Here is a 15,713-nt window from a genome sequence, read left to right as displayed (position 1 = left end):
TGACTGCACAATGGACCTGTGACAAGTCTGCGGGCCTGCAGGACACAGCAGGCGCTTCCCATGCTAGGGCACAGCCATGCACCAGGGCAGAAGAGCATTCTCCAAGGGTGGCAGATTTGTGGGGACCACACTCCAAAACACACACACGCCCATGTACACACACACACATACATGCATGCACACATAAAACAGTCACAGCTAAGTTGACCTAGACATAATTTTCTTACAACGAACTACGCGTTATAATAACTACTTTTACTCTATAGAAACAGATGGATATTTGCTGCATACTTATTCATTAAACTGGTCATCAATGTCTCATGCACTTTTTTTTTTTTTTTTAAGAAGGAGTCTTGTTTTGTCCCCTAGGCTGGAATGCAGTGGCATGACCTCAGCTCACTGCAAACTCTGCCTCCTGGATTCAAGTGATTCTCCTGCCTCAGCCTCCCAAGTAGCTGGGATTACAGGTGCGGGCTACCACGCCTGGCTGATTTTTGTATTTTTAGTAGAGAAGGGATTTTGCCATGTTGGCCAGGCTGATCTCGAACTCTTGACCTCAGGTGACCCACCCACCTCGGCTTCCCAAAGTGCTGGGATTATAGGCGTGAGCCACTGTGCCTGGCCTCATGCACTTTTCATTATATTTTGCAATTTACAAAGTTATGTAGGAGGTGGAATTCTGGTTTCTGCTGGGGATGTACAGAGCTTGTCACTCCCACTCTCACAAGAATAAAGCCAGACAAACCGTAAGTTCTCGACTTTGCTTCATCCCATCAGAGACCTGAGGCTGCAGGACAACCAACTGGAAGCTGGGGAGAGACAGGGCCTGCAGGGGAATGGCATTGAGCCCTCCCGTCCCTGGGGCAGTCACGGGGCATCGTTGGTAAGAGGAGCTTGGCTGGAACCCCTGAGTCCTGGTGGAGGCTGAGTGTGTCTGGGCAGAGAGGGGAGTCCTGCGGGGACAAGGTGGAGGGCCCACCACCCTCCTGCTGGCTTCTCCTCGTGACCCCTGTCCAGCCCCCACCAGGTGCCCACAGGGCTGCCTGGGGATGAGTTCTGACAAAGCCACGCTCCTGTGCAAGCATGAGATGATGTAGGCATTCCACAATGTTCTAAACAAAGAGTGCCTGGACCTTAAAGGTGTACTCATTATTTACCGATTGAAATGCCACATCTGTCATTCTACAGGCACCCTGAGGCACGGACTTGAAAAAATGCATTGATTCAAGATGGAATAAACCGAGTAGGTTTCAGAACAGCCACCCTTGGCCTGGACAGTGCAAGAGCTGCAGAGTGTCACCTCACAGGGCCAGCGGCGACCCAAGACACGGGTGCCTGGAAAGGGGGCTCTCTGCGGGGACAGGGCTCAGAAAGGCTGGACCTGTCCTGAACCACAGAAACAGGGTTCCCTGAACCTCGGCCATCGTCTACCATTACGGCGCCCTGTCCAGATATAAAGTCAGAAAATCTCAGATGCACAAACATTTTGAAGTAAAAGATAGTTTCTAAACCATTACTCAAACCAATAAAACGTGAAGTGAAATGAAATGTGTAATGTGAATGAAAATGCTCCCCAATGTGCACAGTTCAGCCGAATTTTCTTTAGGGTGACAACTGTCAGGTGTGCGATGGGCTGTGTGTCTCTCCTGAAATCGCACACAGAACCCTCAAGCCTGGTAGCCAAGGTGCGACCCCGGGATGACCCTGGGACCCCGTAGGCCAAATCGCAGGCTTTTTACTTCCTGTCACCATAGTCCCCAGACTGGAAAACGGAGCTGGCTGGATGTGCACATATGCAAACCGCCACCTGCAGGGCCACCCATGCTGCCTCACCTTGTCATAGGTGCTGTTAAAACATGCACTAGCCCAGCAGATGCCTCCAAACTGTGGCTACGGCTCTGCCCTCCCTCTGGGCTTCTGAGAAAGGGTCCGACTTGCTGGCGTCAATCCCAGTGGTAGACCCCGAGGGACCCTTGCCTGCCGGAGCTGAGTCAGTGATGATGTCTCCAGGCGGGCTGGGGAGGGAAGCCCCTGAGGGCACGTGGCCCCCCCGCACCTGGACACCTCCCGCACTTGCTGTTCTAGAGGTAAGAGGTGATTCATGGAAAAGCGCTGACACTGCACATCTGAGCTTTTCCTCATTTCCTGGCACGGTGTATTGACCTCCTCCTGGGCTCCCTCTTTTCTTCTGCTTTCCCCAAATCCCCAAAAAGCTTAGATGAAACCCAAGTTTTGTTCTGGAATTTGTCCCTAATAATCCCACTGCACAGAGGCCGAGCACAGCCGTCCCCCTGCCTGCCTCCCGGCACATGCATCTCCTGTCTGAGGAACAAGGCTGGTTTTCTGTGCTTTTCTGGGGAACAAGCCTCTGTCTTTCTCCCCTGTCAATCAGTGCCACTTAGGAGGAGGGGCGGCCTTGCTGGCCTCCAGGATCTGCCCCGCGATGACTCCCGCGGCCTCCTCTCCAGGAAAGAGAGTGCCCTGGAGTACACAGGCAGCACCCAGGGACAGCAAGGCCAGCGCCTGCAGGCAGGGATGTACAGGCCACGCTGTTACCTTCCCTCTCTCTCTCTGCTCCAGATTCCAGGCACCCAGGGCCCACGGGGGAGGGACGTGTGGCCCCTGCCCAGCCGCAATGCAGGGCCAGCCCGGGAACCACTCAGCGGCCTCCTGGAGCCTGAAATAGCCATCGCTCCAGAGTGGCGAGGGCCGGGGCCTCCACTCAGCCTGCATTTCCGAGGTGGGGAGGGGCTGTGACATTTGGGGCACAGATTCTGCCACGTGGGTGAAATGCTGGGGCCCTAGCACACGTGGTGCTGTGGCTCGTTTCCATACTTGGCCCGAGAGGGAGGTGTGGCTCCTTAGAGAGGCGGCGCCTGAAGTGGATGCTGCTGTCCTGAGGGGGCCCAGGAGAACACCCAGCTCTGCCGGGACCCTTGCTTCCCGAGGCAGCCTCATGGAACCCTCCCGAAGCTGCCACCACTGGGCCCAGGCACTTGCCCCTCCACTCCAGGTGAAAGATGCGGCGGGAAAGTGGTTTAGGCGGCGGAACGTTCCCTCCCTGTCTCCCTCTCGCCCTGATTTTAAACACAGCGCAGGCTTCTGACCTTGCTGAAAACGCTCCGGCCTCTCCTGATGTGGTAATAAGCTGCCACTACTGCCATCGCCCACCCTACACCAACAGCACGCGGCCCGCCCCACCCCGACTCCAACCTCCCCTCCCGGGGGTGCAGCTGCAGCCCCCTTCCTCCGTGACACAGGCCGTGGCGGCTGAGGCCTGGCAGGCCAGGCGCAGGGAACCGAGGTGCCCCGGCAGACTCTCAGCGTGGCCTGGCGGCAGGAATGGCCGAAAGCTGAAGCTGAATGTGGAACTTGCTGACCCCTGAGGACTGGCTTTCTCTTGAGGGTTCTGGGAAATCGAGCCCCAGGAGGGTGAGGACTGCCTGCTCACCACTGTGCGTGCAGGGCTTAGCCAGTGCCTGGTATACAGTAGGTGATCGATAAAATCCTATGGGACGGCAGGAGGGAGGAAGGAGGTTTCTGGTTTACAAGTAGAAAATGATGTCCCGGGTGGGCGCAGTGGCTCACGCCTGTAATCCCAGCACTTTGGGAGGCCGAGGCAGGTGGATCACGAGGTCAGGAGATCGAGATCATCCTGGCTAACACGGTGAAACCCCGTCTCTATTAAAAATACAAAAAATTAGCCGGGCGTGGTGGCCGGCACCTGTAGTCCCAGCTACTCGGGAGGCTGAGGCAGGAGAATGGTGTGAACCTGGGAGACGGAGCTTGCAGTGAGCTGAGATCACTCCACTGCACTCCAGCCTGAGCGACAGAGCGAGACTCCATCCCGCCCCCCACCAAAAAAAAGAAAAAAAGAAAATGATGTCCCAGCATGACCATGCACCCTGGCCACCCAGCCCTGGGGAGCGGGCCTCCCTCCCTCTGCTGTGGAAATGCCAGATGAACAAGGCTCCGAGGCCTGTCTTCCTCCATCCCCAACAGGCAAGGGGCTCTGAGGGCTGCCAGGACGGCTTTTTCTCTGTATACAACACAGGTGACGGGAGACAGAACAGAGGTCCTGCCTTGTCTCCCTGAGCCCAGATGAGGCAATGGCACCGCCGTGCCACCCTCCTCCCGCCAAGTGAGCCACCGAAGGGGGCTAAAGACAAGACCCCACCTGACCACAGCAGCCCAGGGTGACCGCTGCACCCTAGGGTGACCGCGGGCAGGCGTGGCTGCAGGGCCAGGCACCCAGCTGCCACCTGTGGGGTTTTCTCAGCATTCGGAGCCCCTGCTGCCCATTAAGAACAGGTCTCTGAAGATGAACGAGAAGCTGCTCTTTTCATGTGGACCGAGCACAGAGGGTTCCTGGTCTAGAACCCCACGCTCAGAGAGTCACATACTGAACACCAGTGGCCACCGCAGGGGCGGGCGTCTCCAGGAAGAGCTGGCATTGTGGGCTCCCTGCTGTCCGTCGCCAGGTACCTGGGCACGTGTGGCGAATGCAGGGTAGGCAGAGGTGCTTCAGGAGCGCCTCGTGAAGGACGCCAGACTCCCAGGCTCCTGGTGAGTGGCCAGCCCGCCTTCCTGCTCTGGGAGGGAGCTGGCGAGGCCTCCCTGGACCCGTGGTGCCATCAATGCAGAATCGCTCCTATTACAGGCCTAGCACCCACCGTGACGCTCAACGTCTCTGTCCCCACAAAAAAACCAAGCCGCCTCTGTGGCCCTCCAGGTCAAACAGGATCAACAGGGACCTCACAAGCCCACAGGTTCCGGAAGCTCCCAGGTCGTACTGCAAGTGCCACTAAATGGCACCTGTGGGTACGCTGCCACGGCGCAGGCCACCACTTGAGGCCTCGAATTCCACAGCTAACTTACTGAAGACCTGAGGGCAAAGGAGAAATGCACATCCTTGGAAACGCTGTGGGTGAGGAGGTGGCACAGCCAGTCCCCTGCCACCTGGTCAGCAGGCTGAAGCTGAGAGGCTTGGCATAAGCCAATTACGAGCAGCTGCTCAGGCGCAATGCGGCACTCTTCCCAGACAGAGGCGCTCTTTTCCCAACACCTAATAGGTCTTTCATCATTTTGAGCATTTGTGAAACTGCATAGCTCAGCCACGAATCCCAGGAAATGATTTGATACCCTTTCTCCGCCCAGGCGCCAGGAACGGTCCGTGGAAGCTGCCAGAGTCGCCCGCTCGCTGGGGCCAGCCTGCCCTGTATACATGGCCCCCGTCACACTCGCGGTAGCCCCAGGTTGAGGATGAGTGAGCGGTTGCTCCTGGGGTTTTGGAACCCTCACCAATGACCGACCCCCTTGCTCAAACTCTCAGAGGCCCCAAATCCCAAGCTAATTTGTCTCCTAAATTCCACACTTAGGTTCTGTTTGTTTTTTAGAGATGGGGTCTCGCTCTGTTGCCCAGGCTGGAGTGCAGTGGCGTAATCACAGCTCACTGTGGCCTTGACCTCCTGAGCTCAAGGGATCCTCCTGCCTCAGCCTTAGGATTCTGTCTTTTGGCTCTGGGTAAACCTCTTTGTAAATAGTATTGATCGTTTTTACATAAACTGAGTCATGGGGAAGACTGGGCATCCTCCTGCCTGTGTCACCTGCAGTGACCCTCCCCGCTGTTAGCAATGGAAGTGCATTAATCGGATCTATAGAAGAGAAAGCTTCCAGATCAGAGAGAAGCAGCTCCTGGCCAAGTGTGCACCAAGAAAAACAAACACAGTCTAGCGTGGAACCTCCAGGGGAGCTGTGGTCTCTTCCTAGGAAATCACCTCGTTCTCCGGCTCTAGAAAATAAAGTTGGCACCCAGACTTGGGGTTTTTGGGTCCCCCCAGCTGCCCCCTGCACCACCTGGTACCATCATCACACACCCCATGGACAGAGGCTGGCACGCATCTTGTGCCCTTTGACCCTCTGCAGAAACAGCAGGCGGCATCAGTGTCCCGTTTTACCAACGAGCACTGGAGGCCTGGAGCACAAACACCCCATCTAATCCCAGCCCGGAGACACAGCGGGGTTGGGACCGAGTCTCTGAAATCCTAGGCCAGCGTGATCTGTGACACCTGCTGATTCTCGGCTTCTGCAGTAAGAGCCGGCACGGACTCTGGTCAAGGGCAGCTGGGAAATCGCCTGCGATCACCATAAACCAGCCCATCAGGCAATGGGTGTGACAGAGCAGCGCCACTTTGATGGTAACTACGCATTTTCTGCTCAGGGTGCAGATCACCATGTAAATCAGCCATCCTACAGCACCTGCCTTGGGGGGCAGTGGGAGTCTGTGCCCATACATCAGGCACTTGTCCGTCCCAGGACATGCCAGGCATCTACAAACACCGCCCAGATGGTATGAAACCGCTCAGCTCCTTCAGGAATGTTCTGAACAAAAACCCCTTTGCAGAAGGATGGGAGAGCTGCCCAAGGACCCCAGGAGGGATCAGAATGAGTTCCTGCCATCCCCTGCTTCCCTACCTCCCAGGAGTTCCCCTGCAAAGGGCTAGGCAGGGTTTGTTGACATGCAGAGAACGGTCCAGGGCTGGAAGAGGAGGGGAGCACACAGTAAAGGCCCCCAGGACTGCCCAGGCCCCCGGGCCCCGGCCTCACTCACCAGTAGAAGTAATAGGCCAAAGCCACCGCCAGCAGGGCCACACAGATCCCTGAGAAGAGGCAGGCCGGGTAGCTGCTCAGCATCTTCAGCCCTCGGTCCTGTGCTGCCTGAAGCCGGCGAGAAGGACCTGCGGGGAGCAGGTGTCAGCCTGGCCAAAGGGTGAGGAGCCGAGCTCAAGCGGAGGGATTAGGACCTGGCCTGAGCTGCCCAGGCTTGGCAGGGGCCGTTGCCACCCAGAGCATCTGCTCAGCAGGAAGTGGGTGCTGGGCACCCCCAGGGTGCCACCTGCGTGGCCAGCACTGTCCTTCTAGTCACAGAGACCAACTCAAGGGACCCCAGGAGCGCGCTGAAGCAGGACATACACACAGGTTCGTCCTCCTGCGCACAGCTGCGGGCTCTGCCGTCGGGGCACCGGCTAATCCAATAAGCAGCTTTTGGCCAGGAGCTGCTCACTGTAAACAGGCAGAGTCACAGGGCCAGCCAGGATGCAGGTCAACGAGCCCCACCCCAGCACAGACCCCTAGGACCAGGGACCTAAGAGTGCCCACATCTTCCTCCTCACAGCACCAGTGTGTCAAGGGGCCAGGTTGTGGGTGAGTTGGTGAGGTCTACCCTGTGCTCAGCCGTGGGCTAGCAAGATCCCTGAAAGGCCTCCAAGTGATAGGCAAACGTCCTGCATGTGGGGCATGGCTGTGGGCTCAACAGAGAACAGCCACCCAGCCTGCCGGACAGGCCAGGCGCCCGCGACACTCTCTCCAAACTGCAGCAAGGTTTGCTAAACGGTGGTGCTCCGGGTCCCATGTTCAGAGCTCCCACGCTGGAAGAGCTGTGGGGTGGGCCGCCTCTTATCCTCCAGAAGTCAGGCACGTCCCTCCATGTCACTCCAGCCTGAAACCTCTCAATCTGAAATGGAGTTCAAAGGCTAAACTAGGGAGATGAGATCAAAGGACCCAGGGACCAGAGCATCGCCCTGGGAAACCTCCTGGGGCGCGGGAGGCCCCCGACAACAACAGCGACGGGGGTGGGGTGTTATCAAGGGAGCGCCCGCTAGAGGCCCTCGACAGCACACGGGGACGGGGATGGGGTGTTCCTAAGGGAGCGCCCCCTGGAGGCCCGGCCAGTGCATTCTCGCTCAGGGTCACGGGGCCACAGTGGGATAAAGTGAAAGTCACTGCTCGTGCATCTCCCACGGCATCAGACACAACGAACCTGTCCCCAGCAGGGTTTGCCCAGGATGCTCCCCTAGCCTGGTCGCAGCCCCGTCCCAGCCCTGGTGCGGCCCCTGCGTGCTCTGTGGGAAACTGTGGACTGAGAGGTGGGAACCGCTCAGCTCAGTCCTGACATGCTCAGCCTTTACTTCTGTGAACCTGTGAACCTGGTGGAGGAGAGAGCGTGATGGGGCAGCCGCAGCCTTCCCAGGCCTGGGGGAGCCCCTCCTTCCCCCCACAAGGCTTCAGGTGACTGCATCCCCGGCCAACACATTGACCCCATGTGACTCCACGTGACACCCAGAATCGCCCGCTAAGCCACTCCTGGATTCCTGACCCTCCGCAGCTGTGTGAGATAATAGATGTCTGCTGTTTTCGCTGCTAAGTTTGTGGGTAACTCGTTACACAGCAATGTAACAAACACGGTAAGGCAACCAGGCAGATCAATATGAGGCGCACCATTTACTGGAAGTATTGGATGACTATTTATAGGGCTGGAGTTAGTGTCTGAACAAAATAGAAGATTTGCAGGCCGGGCACGGTGGCTCACACCTGTAATCCCAGCACTGTGGGAGGCCGAGGCTGGTGGATCACCTGAGGTCAGGAGTTTGAGACCAGCCTGGCCAACATGGTGAAACCCTGTCTCTATTAAAAATACAAAAAATTAGCATGCCTGTAATCCCAGCTTCTCAGGAGGCTGAGGCAGGAGAATCGCTTGAACTCGGGAGGCAGAGGTTACAGTGAGCACTCCAGCCTGGGCAACAAGAGCAAGACTCTGTCTCAAAAAAAAAAAAAAAAAAAAAAAAAGATTTGCAGATTCAAGAATTCTGACTTCTAATCCTCAGTACGTTCCTCAGTACGTTCCTTCTATCCCAATGAGCGATGTTAACTAACTTAGCTCTCTAGCGTAACATGCACATCATGGAACCAAGACATTCATTTAATCCTGTTAGCAGCCCAAGAAACCCAACAGTGAGTGTGAGTGTGTGTGTGTGTGTGTGTGTGTCTGTGTGTGTGTGAGAGAGAGAGAGAGAGAGAAAGTGGGGGAGAGAGGAGAAATGCAGCCCTCCCACCAGACAACAGCAAGCGTGTGAGCTGCTTCCTCCTCCCTCTGCAGCGAGGACCCAGACAACTTCCTTGGTCCAGCACTGTCTGCACAGTCACCCCAAAATATGCAAATATGACTGGCTGCCCACACAACCTCTGCCTGGCACTTCTTCTAACAAGAACCTGCCTGAGGTATAGAAGGCAATGGCTATGCAGAAGTCATCTGGTTTCATGGGATGCGTCCTAATGACTGCCTTAGAGATAGTTAATGAGAGAGAGAAAGGAGTCTTTTGGAGCTTCCAGAAAGGTTTCAGCCCCTGACAAAAGGTTGCAAAAAGAAATTTCCCTTTTCCTGTCCAGGCATGGTGGCTCACGCCTGTAATTCCAGCACTTTCGGAGGCAGGAGGATCACCTGAACACAGGAGTTCAAGGCTGCAGTGAGCCACGATTGCGCCACTGCACTTAAGCCTTAGTGACAGAGGGAGACCCTGTCTCCAGAAAAACAAAACAAAACAAAAAAAACTCCCTTTTCCTGACATCAGACTTATCTGTATCAAGTTGTGATGGCTGGTGCAGAGGCAGCCACGATGTCACCTCAAGGAGACAGGCCTGCAGTGGAAAGCAACCTAGAGGGTGGCCCAGAGGAGGAACAGATATAGTCAGGGGCCTTGCGCGCCTCCGCCAAGCCAAGCAAAGGCCAGCGTAGAGGAGCTGACCCCTGGGGCTTCCCACCTAGGTCAGCTCAAGGCAGATTCTGCTACTTTCAGCTCAATTCACCAGCGCCCCACCCAGTGGGCCTTTGGGACTCACACATATCTAGGGACCAACTTCTTATCTACATGCTTTGCATTTCCCAAAATCCAAAAGTCACTCATGGGTACCCCTGTGATAACAGCAAGCCTGAGTTTTCTCCAGGGCCACAGGAAGCCACAGGGTCAACGTTCCCCCACCCAGGAGTGCCAGCCCCACTCAGGTTTGCAGGCGGGGTGTTCTTTTATCTTAAAGCAAACATGGCTACCATTCAGAACAGTACGTGAATGGAGAATTCCTTTTAAAAACAAAACCAAAGATTTCTATTAGAGAAAAATACTTGGGGGAACCAGCATCCCAGGGACCCACAGCCTACTTCTAAATATGTCATTTTTTTAAGAGGAAAAAAGCTTGTTCACATCTTGAAGATTTTAACAAATTTTAGGGCAAGGAAACAGGCCGTGCAGTTGCAAATACACAGGGAAGCCCTTTTCGCTGAGGCACAGAGGCCTGGGAGCCGCTTTAGGCGGAGCTGACACGGGAGAGCCAGGCTGGCGCCAGGCATGGCTCCACTCAGAAGCACTAGGCCTCTGCGCCTCCATCCAAGAGCTGCGGTCGGGAAAAGGAAAGGATGTCTTGTTTTTGCCAAGGTATCTGAAGTCTCTGTGGGCAGCAGTCGGGTGAGCTTTTCGGCTGTGATAGAACAGAAGTATTATAGGGGCAGAGCTCATTCACGAGCAGGTCTTTCAACACAGGCATTACCGGCGTGCCACCTGATTCTCTCACTGTGTCTTCCTCTGCCGGAGAAATCCTTGTACATGAGGAGACAACTAAAACTTGCAGCTTTGACTCCCAGGCCATTCTTCCGGAGGGAGGCACTGTGGCCGTGTGCCAGGAGGGCAGAGGCACTGGCCCCACGGAGGACAGCAGTCTGCTCTCAGACAGACGAACGCTGCAGGTGCACCCACAGAAAAGTCCACAGCCCCCGGTAAACAATGCCGTGCTCGCCACTGCTAGGGGAGGCTGAGGAACCCGGCTGGGGTTGGAGGCCTGGTGCCAGCCTGGTGTGACGTCAGGCACAAGGGGCTGGGGCTGCATTGTCCTCCCCTCTCCCTGCTTTTGCTTCAGTCCTGGACTCTTTGGGCTGCAGAGCTGGGGTCCTGGCAGGTCACTTGACTTCTCTGGCCTTGGCTCCCCCTCTTTGAAGTGAGCAGATTGACCACCACGGCTGTCCCCAGGGGTGCCCGAGCTGCAGGTGTGGGGGCCAGGGCTGCGGCATGTGAGCCTTCCGTGTGACCCTGCAGTGGGGCCTAGGCCTTGCTTAGGAACAGCTGGGCGGGCTCCGCTACTGTTCTACACTCTGGCTTCCGACTCGAGCCGCCATCAGGGAAAAAGCCTGGCATGATCTGTTTGCTTAGCGCACCTGGAGAGCCAGGGCACTGCCCCAAGCCCCGAGCCCTGGCTGAGGCTTCTCCACTCCTTAATCTCCAGAGTAGCTGAGGTGCTGTGGGCCTGAGTCTGAGCTCCTCCGTGGCCGCCTGTGATGATGAAGCCAGGTTGTCCTTCCTGCCCCACGCCTGGGTCACTGCCTTTCTCGTGATAAGGAAAAAAAAAAATCCCTTCCTGGGAGAGTCGTTCCCTTTCCATGTCTGAATAACAGACTCCCCAAATGCCAGGCAGACCCAGCCCTGAGGCCCCAGAATGCCCCTACCGAGCAGTGAGCATCTGTGGGCCCGGCCTCAGGTCTCTCCGAGCTCCGCAGCAGCGCCGATGCCCAGTACTGCGTGCAGAGGCCGCCCTGCAGGCCGCTCCTGGACTTGACCTCTAAGGCCACTTCTCACTGTAAAAACTGTGGGGACATTGTGGGGCCTATGCTGGCCCTGCCCTCCTCCTGAACGGCTTCATGCCTGCCAGGGCCAGGCGCCTGGGGGCACTCCCAGCTGGGGACCCCGGCTCAGCCTCCCCGGGGCTGGAGAGAGGCGGGATCTGGGTGCTGCTACTGGAGGGTGCTGCCCCTGGGTCCCAGCTCTGACATTTGCTCTTGTGGTGTGTCCTGAGCCTGCCTCCTGCTCCCTCACCACGCAAGGCCACCACACGGCCCAGTGTGTGACACAACCGATGCCCGCACAGCAAAGCGTGCTAGCGCGGCACGGCACTTTGGTGACTTGGCTGAGCTCTCCAGAATTGCCAGGTGCTCCCCACTGCTTCCTCACGCTCTCAGGTGAGAAGCCCCCCCTGTCCAGCCTCCACACTGGTTCTGTGTGTGGCATGTGAGTGGTGTGGGTGGCGTGGGTGGTGGACGGCACATGGGTGGCATGGGTAGTAGCGTGGGTGGCGTAAGTGGCGTGGTGGCGTGTCAATGGCATGTGAGTGGCATGTGAGTGGCGTGGGTGACATGTGAGGGGCAGAGGTGGTGTGGGTGGCATGGGTGGCATGTGAGTGGCGTGGGTGGCGTGTCAATGGCATGTGAGTGGCATGTGAGTGGCGTCGGTGACGTGAGGGGTAGAGGTGGTGTGGGTGGCATGGGTGGCGTGTGAGTGGCGTGGGTGGCGTGATGTGATATGGCAGCACGTGGGTGGCATGGCGTGGCTTGCTTTGTGCTGTGGCTCCTCCACCATGGGCACGTGGCCTCCTCGTGCTCCCAGCTATCTGAATGTCATCCTGCTCACGACCAGGGCTTGAGCCCGCCCCTCCACAGGTTCCCGCTGTCCCCTCCTCCGCCCCATCACCATCGCACACCTCCTAGTCTTACCTTCTGGTTACCCCACGGGGCCTAAAGGAAACAGTTCTTTTCTTCCAGGTCCTTTCCCGTCTCTGACACCTAAGCCATGCTGCCTGTATAACATCCTAGTGGAGGCCCAGCCTCCTGACTCTACCAACGAGGTTGCGCTGCCACGCAGGCCAGGGCCAGGCAGCCGACGGCCTGGGGACTTGCGGAGCCTCTGTGGCCTCTTATGAAGTCACCATCTCTGAGCATGGGCACAGTGAAGGAAGACGAGGCCTGGAGGCCCCTCCTTCCGCCCTTGGGAGGTGGGGACAGGCACACCGCGGTGAGAGGGCTGGTGTGTGGGAGCTGGTCCTTGGGGGGCTGGCGTGCTCAGGGAGCTGGTTCTCAGGGGACTGGCATATGGGAGCTGGTGCTCGGCAGGGGAGCTGGTGCTCGGGGAGCTGGCGTGCCGGGCACCCATGTCTGCCTGTTCTCCAGCATCCAGGTCTCAAAACCTCATCACCCAAACTACCAAGGATGAGCAATGTAGGGCAGACACCTGCTCCACTGCCCCTGCCCTGGTACGGCATTCGGCAGCTGGCCATGACTGAGAAAGGAAGCGGCACACCAGGTGTGGCCAGTCCACACAGTGACAGCACATGGGGACCCCAGGCTGTTCCAGACCAAGGGCCTCCTCTCGTGCACCCACAGACCCCGTCCTGCTGCTCAGTTCTAACCCTCTGGCGTTTCCATGCCACTGTCCACTCTCCACGTGAGGCTCGTGGCAGGCGCGGGAGTGCCGTCCTCTGGCTCTTGCAGCTGGTGCTTGGGCCTGTGCTTGGATGGAGGCCGCCGGGGCCTCTGGGCATCTGGTATGCGGCGTCCTTCTCTCCTGACTCTCCCCTCACCTTTCCCCTGTGCTGCCCCTCCCACATTTGCTGCTACATGCCGAGACTACTGGAGCCTAACCCCAGTGCCAACCGCTTCCAAGCTGTGCCTCAGTTTCCTCAACCATAAAGAAAGAATAAAAACACATGGACGCCAGCAGGCTATGGAGAACCAAAGACCCCCGGGGCGCACTGAGAACAATGCTGGGCATGGAAAATGTCAAGAAGCAGCCAGGAGTATGATGACATCATCGATATTCCCAAACCTTTCCCCATGGAGAAAACAGATGGCAGAGCTTTAAAAAAGATACACGACAAAAGCAAACATAGACCACTGGGATTACGGCAAACTAAACAGCTTCTGCATGACAAAGGGAACGACAGGGTAAAGAGACGACCCGCAAGGGAGAGAAAACCCTGCAGACCACATGCCCGATGCAGGCCCAGCATCCACAGGGTAAAGGGGCTCAGACTCAATAGCAAGAAAGCAAACAGCAAAGGACCCGAACGGCTGTGCCTCAGAAGGAGCCACACCGACAGCCAGCAGGTTAACGAAGAGCTGTTCGGCATTATTAACCATCAGGGAGAAGCAAATCGAAGCCACAGGGAGGTGTCATTTCATGCCGTTCAGTTGGCTATTATCAAAAAGACGAATGTAACAGGTGTTGACGAGAACGCAGAGAAAAGGCACCTGGCACGCTGTGAGGGAGAGAGAGCGTCAATCAGTGTGGCCACTACACAAACCATCTGGAGGTGCCTCCAAAAGTCAAAAATGGAACTACTGGCCCAGGGCGGTGGCTCACACCTGTAATCCCAGCACTTTGGGAGGCCAAGGCGGGTGGATCACTTGAGGTCAGGAGTTCGAGACCAGTCTGGCCAACATGGTGAAACCCCATCTCTACTAAACATACAAAATTAGCCCGGCATGGTGGCGGGCGTCTGTAATCCCAGCTACTCGGGAGGCTGAAGCAAAAGAATCGCTTGAACCCAAGAGGCGGAGCTTGCAGTGAGCCGAGACCGTGCCATCGCACTCCAGCCTGGGCGACAGAGCAAGACTCCGTCTCAAGAAAACAAAAGGAACTACCATAAGGTCCGGCAATCCCACTTCTGGGTATGTATCTAAAGGAACTGAAATCAGTGTGTCAAATAGACACCGGCACGCCCATGTTCACTGCAGCATCACCCCCAACAGCCACACGATGGAGGCAGCCCAGGTGCCCACCAACAGACGAATGGATAGCGAGCGTGCGGTGCGTAACGCCGTGTTATTATTCAGCCATAAGGAAGAAGGAAGTCCTGTCACTGGCAACATCACAGACAAACGTGGTAGACCCGACACTAAGTGGATAATCAGCCAGTCACAGAACGACAAGTCCTGCACGACCTCACTCACACGAGGAATCGGAAACGGAGGTCTCACCAGAACTGGGAGGAGCACGGTGGTTACCAGGGGCTGGGGGCTTGGGCAAGGACGGGCAGGGGAGGTGCTGATCAAAGGGAGCAGTTTCAGTTAGACTGGAGGGACGTGTTCGTGATCGGCCGCGCTGCGTGGCGACCAGTTAACAATAACGTATCATGTTTCAAAATCAGGGAAAGAATAGATTTTTAACATCCACACCACCAAAAACGATGTTGGTGAGCTGATAGCTATGTTAATTAGCTTAATTAATCTTTCTACAATGTACACATAGATCACATGGTACTCCATATACACAATCATATTTTGTCAATTATAGATAGATGACAAATAGGTAGTAGGTAGGTAGACACACACACACACACACACACACACACACACACACACACACACGAGATCCTCTTCAGGTAAAAAGCAGAACGGAAACAAAACCTCAACCTGTATGGAACATTGAGATAGCTGGAGCTTTTCATCATGCTCTTTACAGCAAACCTAGAATGTTTAGAATCATGGTTTTACTTATTTTGAAATAATGGATTTTGGCATAAGACCTCTGCCAAAATCCCCTTCTGGTGGTGTTTCTGATGAACGGGAGCTGCACTGTCTGAATACTGACGACAGTGCCGGTGGCTGGGGATGCTCAGTGTCAATCAAAGCTGAAGCACGCGGCAGTTCTCTGCCTGGGAGTCGCACTAACGGGGCCGATGTGGCGTCCTACTCCACGTCGCTCTTCGGTTTTTACCTCCACATCTCTTTTTCAAGGTTAAGAAGAACAAAGCTCATCTGAACATATCGCCCAAACAAATGTCATAGGAATATAATATCTCCTGATTATTTCCCTGGACATGAAAACTTAATGATTTATTCAAAAATATTAAAAGAGAAGAACCGAGTATGTTGATTCAATTTCCTGGAGGCCTCCTCAGAGCTACAACATAAAATAGAGTGTTTTTAGGATGTCAATAAAATCTTTCTTCAGATAAACCCCATGAAGATTCCACATTTCCTTTCTCATGCCAGTGACCGAGCGAAACTCCAGGTGTGATTAACCTCCCTCACCCCAGCAGTGGGACGTCACTAGCACCAG

At 56.0% G+C, this 15,713-nt stretch overlaps 1 protein-coding gene and 1 long non-coding RNA gene across 21 annotated transcripts in view, besides 8 other annotated features; one reads left to right on the top strand and one right to left on the bottom strand.

Moving 5' to 3' along the window:
- AGPAT3 (1-acylglycerol-3-phosphate O-acyltransferase 3) overlaps positions 1-15,713 on the bottom strand; it is a 122,370-nt gene that overhangs the window by 40,651 nt on the left and 66,006 nt on the right. For 7 of the 20 annotated variants that reach the window (XM_047440916.1, XM_047440915.1, XM_047440923.1 and 4 more), the window contains one exon: positions 6,611-6,737. The exons of 12 other annotated variants lie outside the window; for them this stretch is intronic. In XM_047440916.1, the coding sequence (XP_047296872.1) occupies positions 6,611-6,737 (127 nt within the window). Of the gene's footprint in view, positions 1-745; positions 1,037-6,610; positions 6,738-15,713 lie in introns of those variants that run through there. One more of the 20 variants, XM_047440917.1, reaches the window with a different exon arrangement.
- On the top strand, positions 428-1,539 carry LOC105372826 (uncharacterized). The gene is made up of 3 exons (XR_001755079.2): positions 428-467; positions 778-883; positions 1,189-1,539. It is a non-coding gene; the product is annotated as an uncharacterized LOC105372826 (long non-coding RNA).
- Positions 2,265-3,108: an enhancer, noted in NCBI's record as "H3K4me1 hESC enhancer chr21:45363715-45364558 (GRCh37/hg19 assembly coordinates)". NCBI's record gives its function as "activates a minimal SCP1, AML or CMV promoter by ChIP-STARR-seq in primed H9 embryonic stem cells {active_cell/tissue: H9 hESC(primed)}" and the evidence as "EXISTENCE:reporter gene assay evidence [ECO:0000049][PMID:30033119]".
- Positions 6,009-6,180: a silencer, noted in NCBI's record as "fragment chr21:45360643-45360814 (GRCh37/hg19 assembly coordinates)". NCBI's record gives its function as "represses an EF-1alpha promoter that drives an FKBP-Casp9 reporter gene in an ReSE screen in HepG2 liver carcinoma cells {active_cell/tissue: HepG2}" and the evidence as "EXISTENCE:reporter gene assay evidence [ECO:0000049][PMID:32094911]".
- Positions 6,720-7,618: an enhancer, noted in NCBI's record as "H3K4me1 hESC enhancer chr21:45359205-45360103 (GRCh37/hg19 assembly coordinates)". NCBI's record gives its function as "activates a minimal SCP1, AML or CMV promoter by ChIP-STARR-seq in naive H9 embryonic stem cells {active_cell/tissue: H9 hESC(naive)}" and the evidence as "EXISTENCE:reporter gene assay evidence [ECO:0000049][PMID:30033119]".
- Positions 7,619-8,519: an enhancer, noted in NCBI's record as "H3K4me1 hESC enhancer chr21:45358304-45359204 (GRCh37/hg19 assembly coordinates)". NCBI's record gives its function as "activates a minimal SCP1, AML or CMV promoter by ChIP-STARR-seq in naive H9 embryonic stem cells {active_cell/tissue: H9 hESC(naive)}" and the evidence as "EXISTENCE:reporter gene assay evidence [ECO:0000049][PMID:30033119]".
- Positions 7,862-8,261: an enhancer, noted in NCBI's record as "active region_18559". NCBI's record gives its function as "activates an Ori minimal core promoter by ATAC-STARR-seq in GM12878 lymphoblastoid cells {active_cell/tissue: GM12878}" and the evidence as "EXISTENCE:reporter gene assay evidence [ECO:0000049][PMID:35858748]".
- Positions 8,798-8,847: an enhancer, noted in NCBI's record as "active region_18558". NCBI's record gives its function as "activates an Ori minimal core promoter by ATAC-STARR-seq in GM12878 lymphoblastoid cells {active_cell/tissue: GM12878}" and the evidence as "EXISTENCE:reporter gene assay evidence [ECO:0000049][PMID:35858748]".
- Positions 11,969-12,787: an enhancer, noted in NCBI's record as "H3K4me1 hESC enhancer chr21:45354036-45354854 (GRCh37/hg19 assembly coordinates)". NCBI's record gives its function as "activates a minimal SCP1, AML or CMV promoter by ChIP-STARR-seq in naive H9 embryonic stem cells {active_cell/tissue: H9 hESC(naive)}" and the evidence as "EXISTENCE:reporter gene assay evidence [ECO:0000049][PMID:30033119]".
- Positions 14,385-14,885: an enhancer, noted in NCBI's record as "H3K4me1 hESC enhancer chr21:45351938-45352438 (GRCh37/hg19 assembly coordinates)". NCBI's record gives its function as "activates a minimal SCP1, AML or CMV promoter by ChIP-STARR-seq in naive H9 embryonic stem cells {active_cell/tissue: H9 hESC(naive)}" and the evidence as "EXISTENCE:reporter gene assay evidence [ECO:0000049][PMID:30033119]".

The sequence above is a fragment of the Homo sapiens genome, chromosome 21 (genome assembly GCF_000001405.40).
Source record: "Homo sapiens chromosome 21, GRCh38.p14 Primary Assembly".
In the NCBI taxonomy this organism is placed as follows: Eukaryota; Metazoa; Chordata; class Mammalia; order Primates; family Hominidae; genus Homo; species Homo sapiens.
Note: the sequence above shows the minus strand (reverse complement) of the source record. Positions and strands in the feature narration are given on the sequence as shown.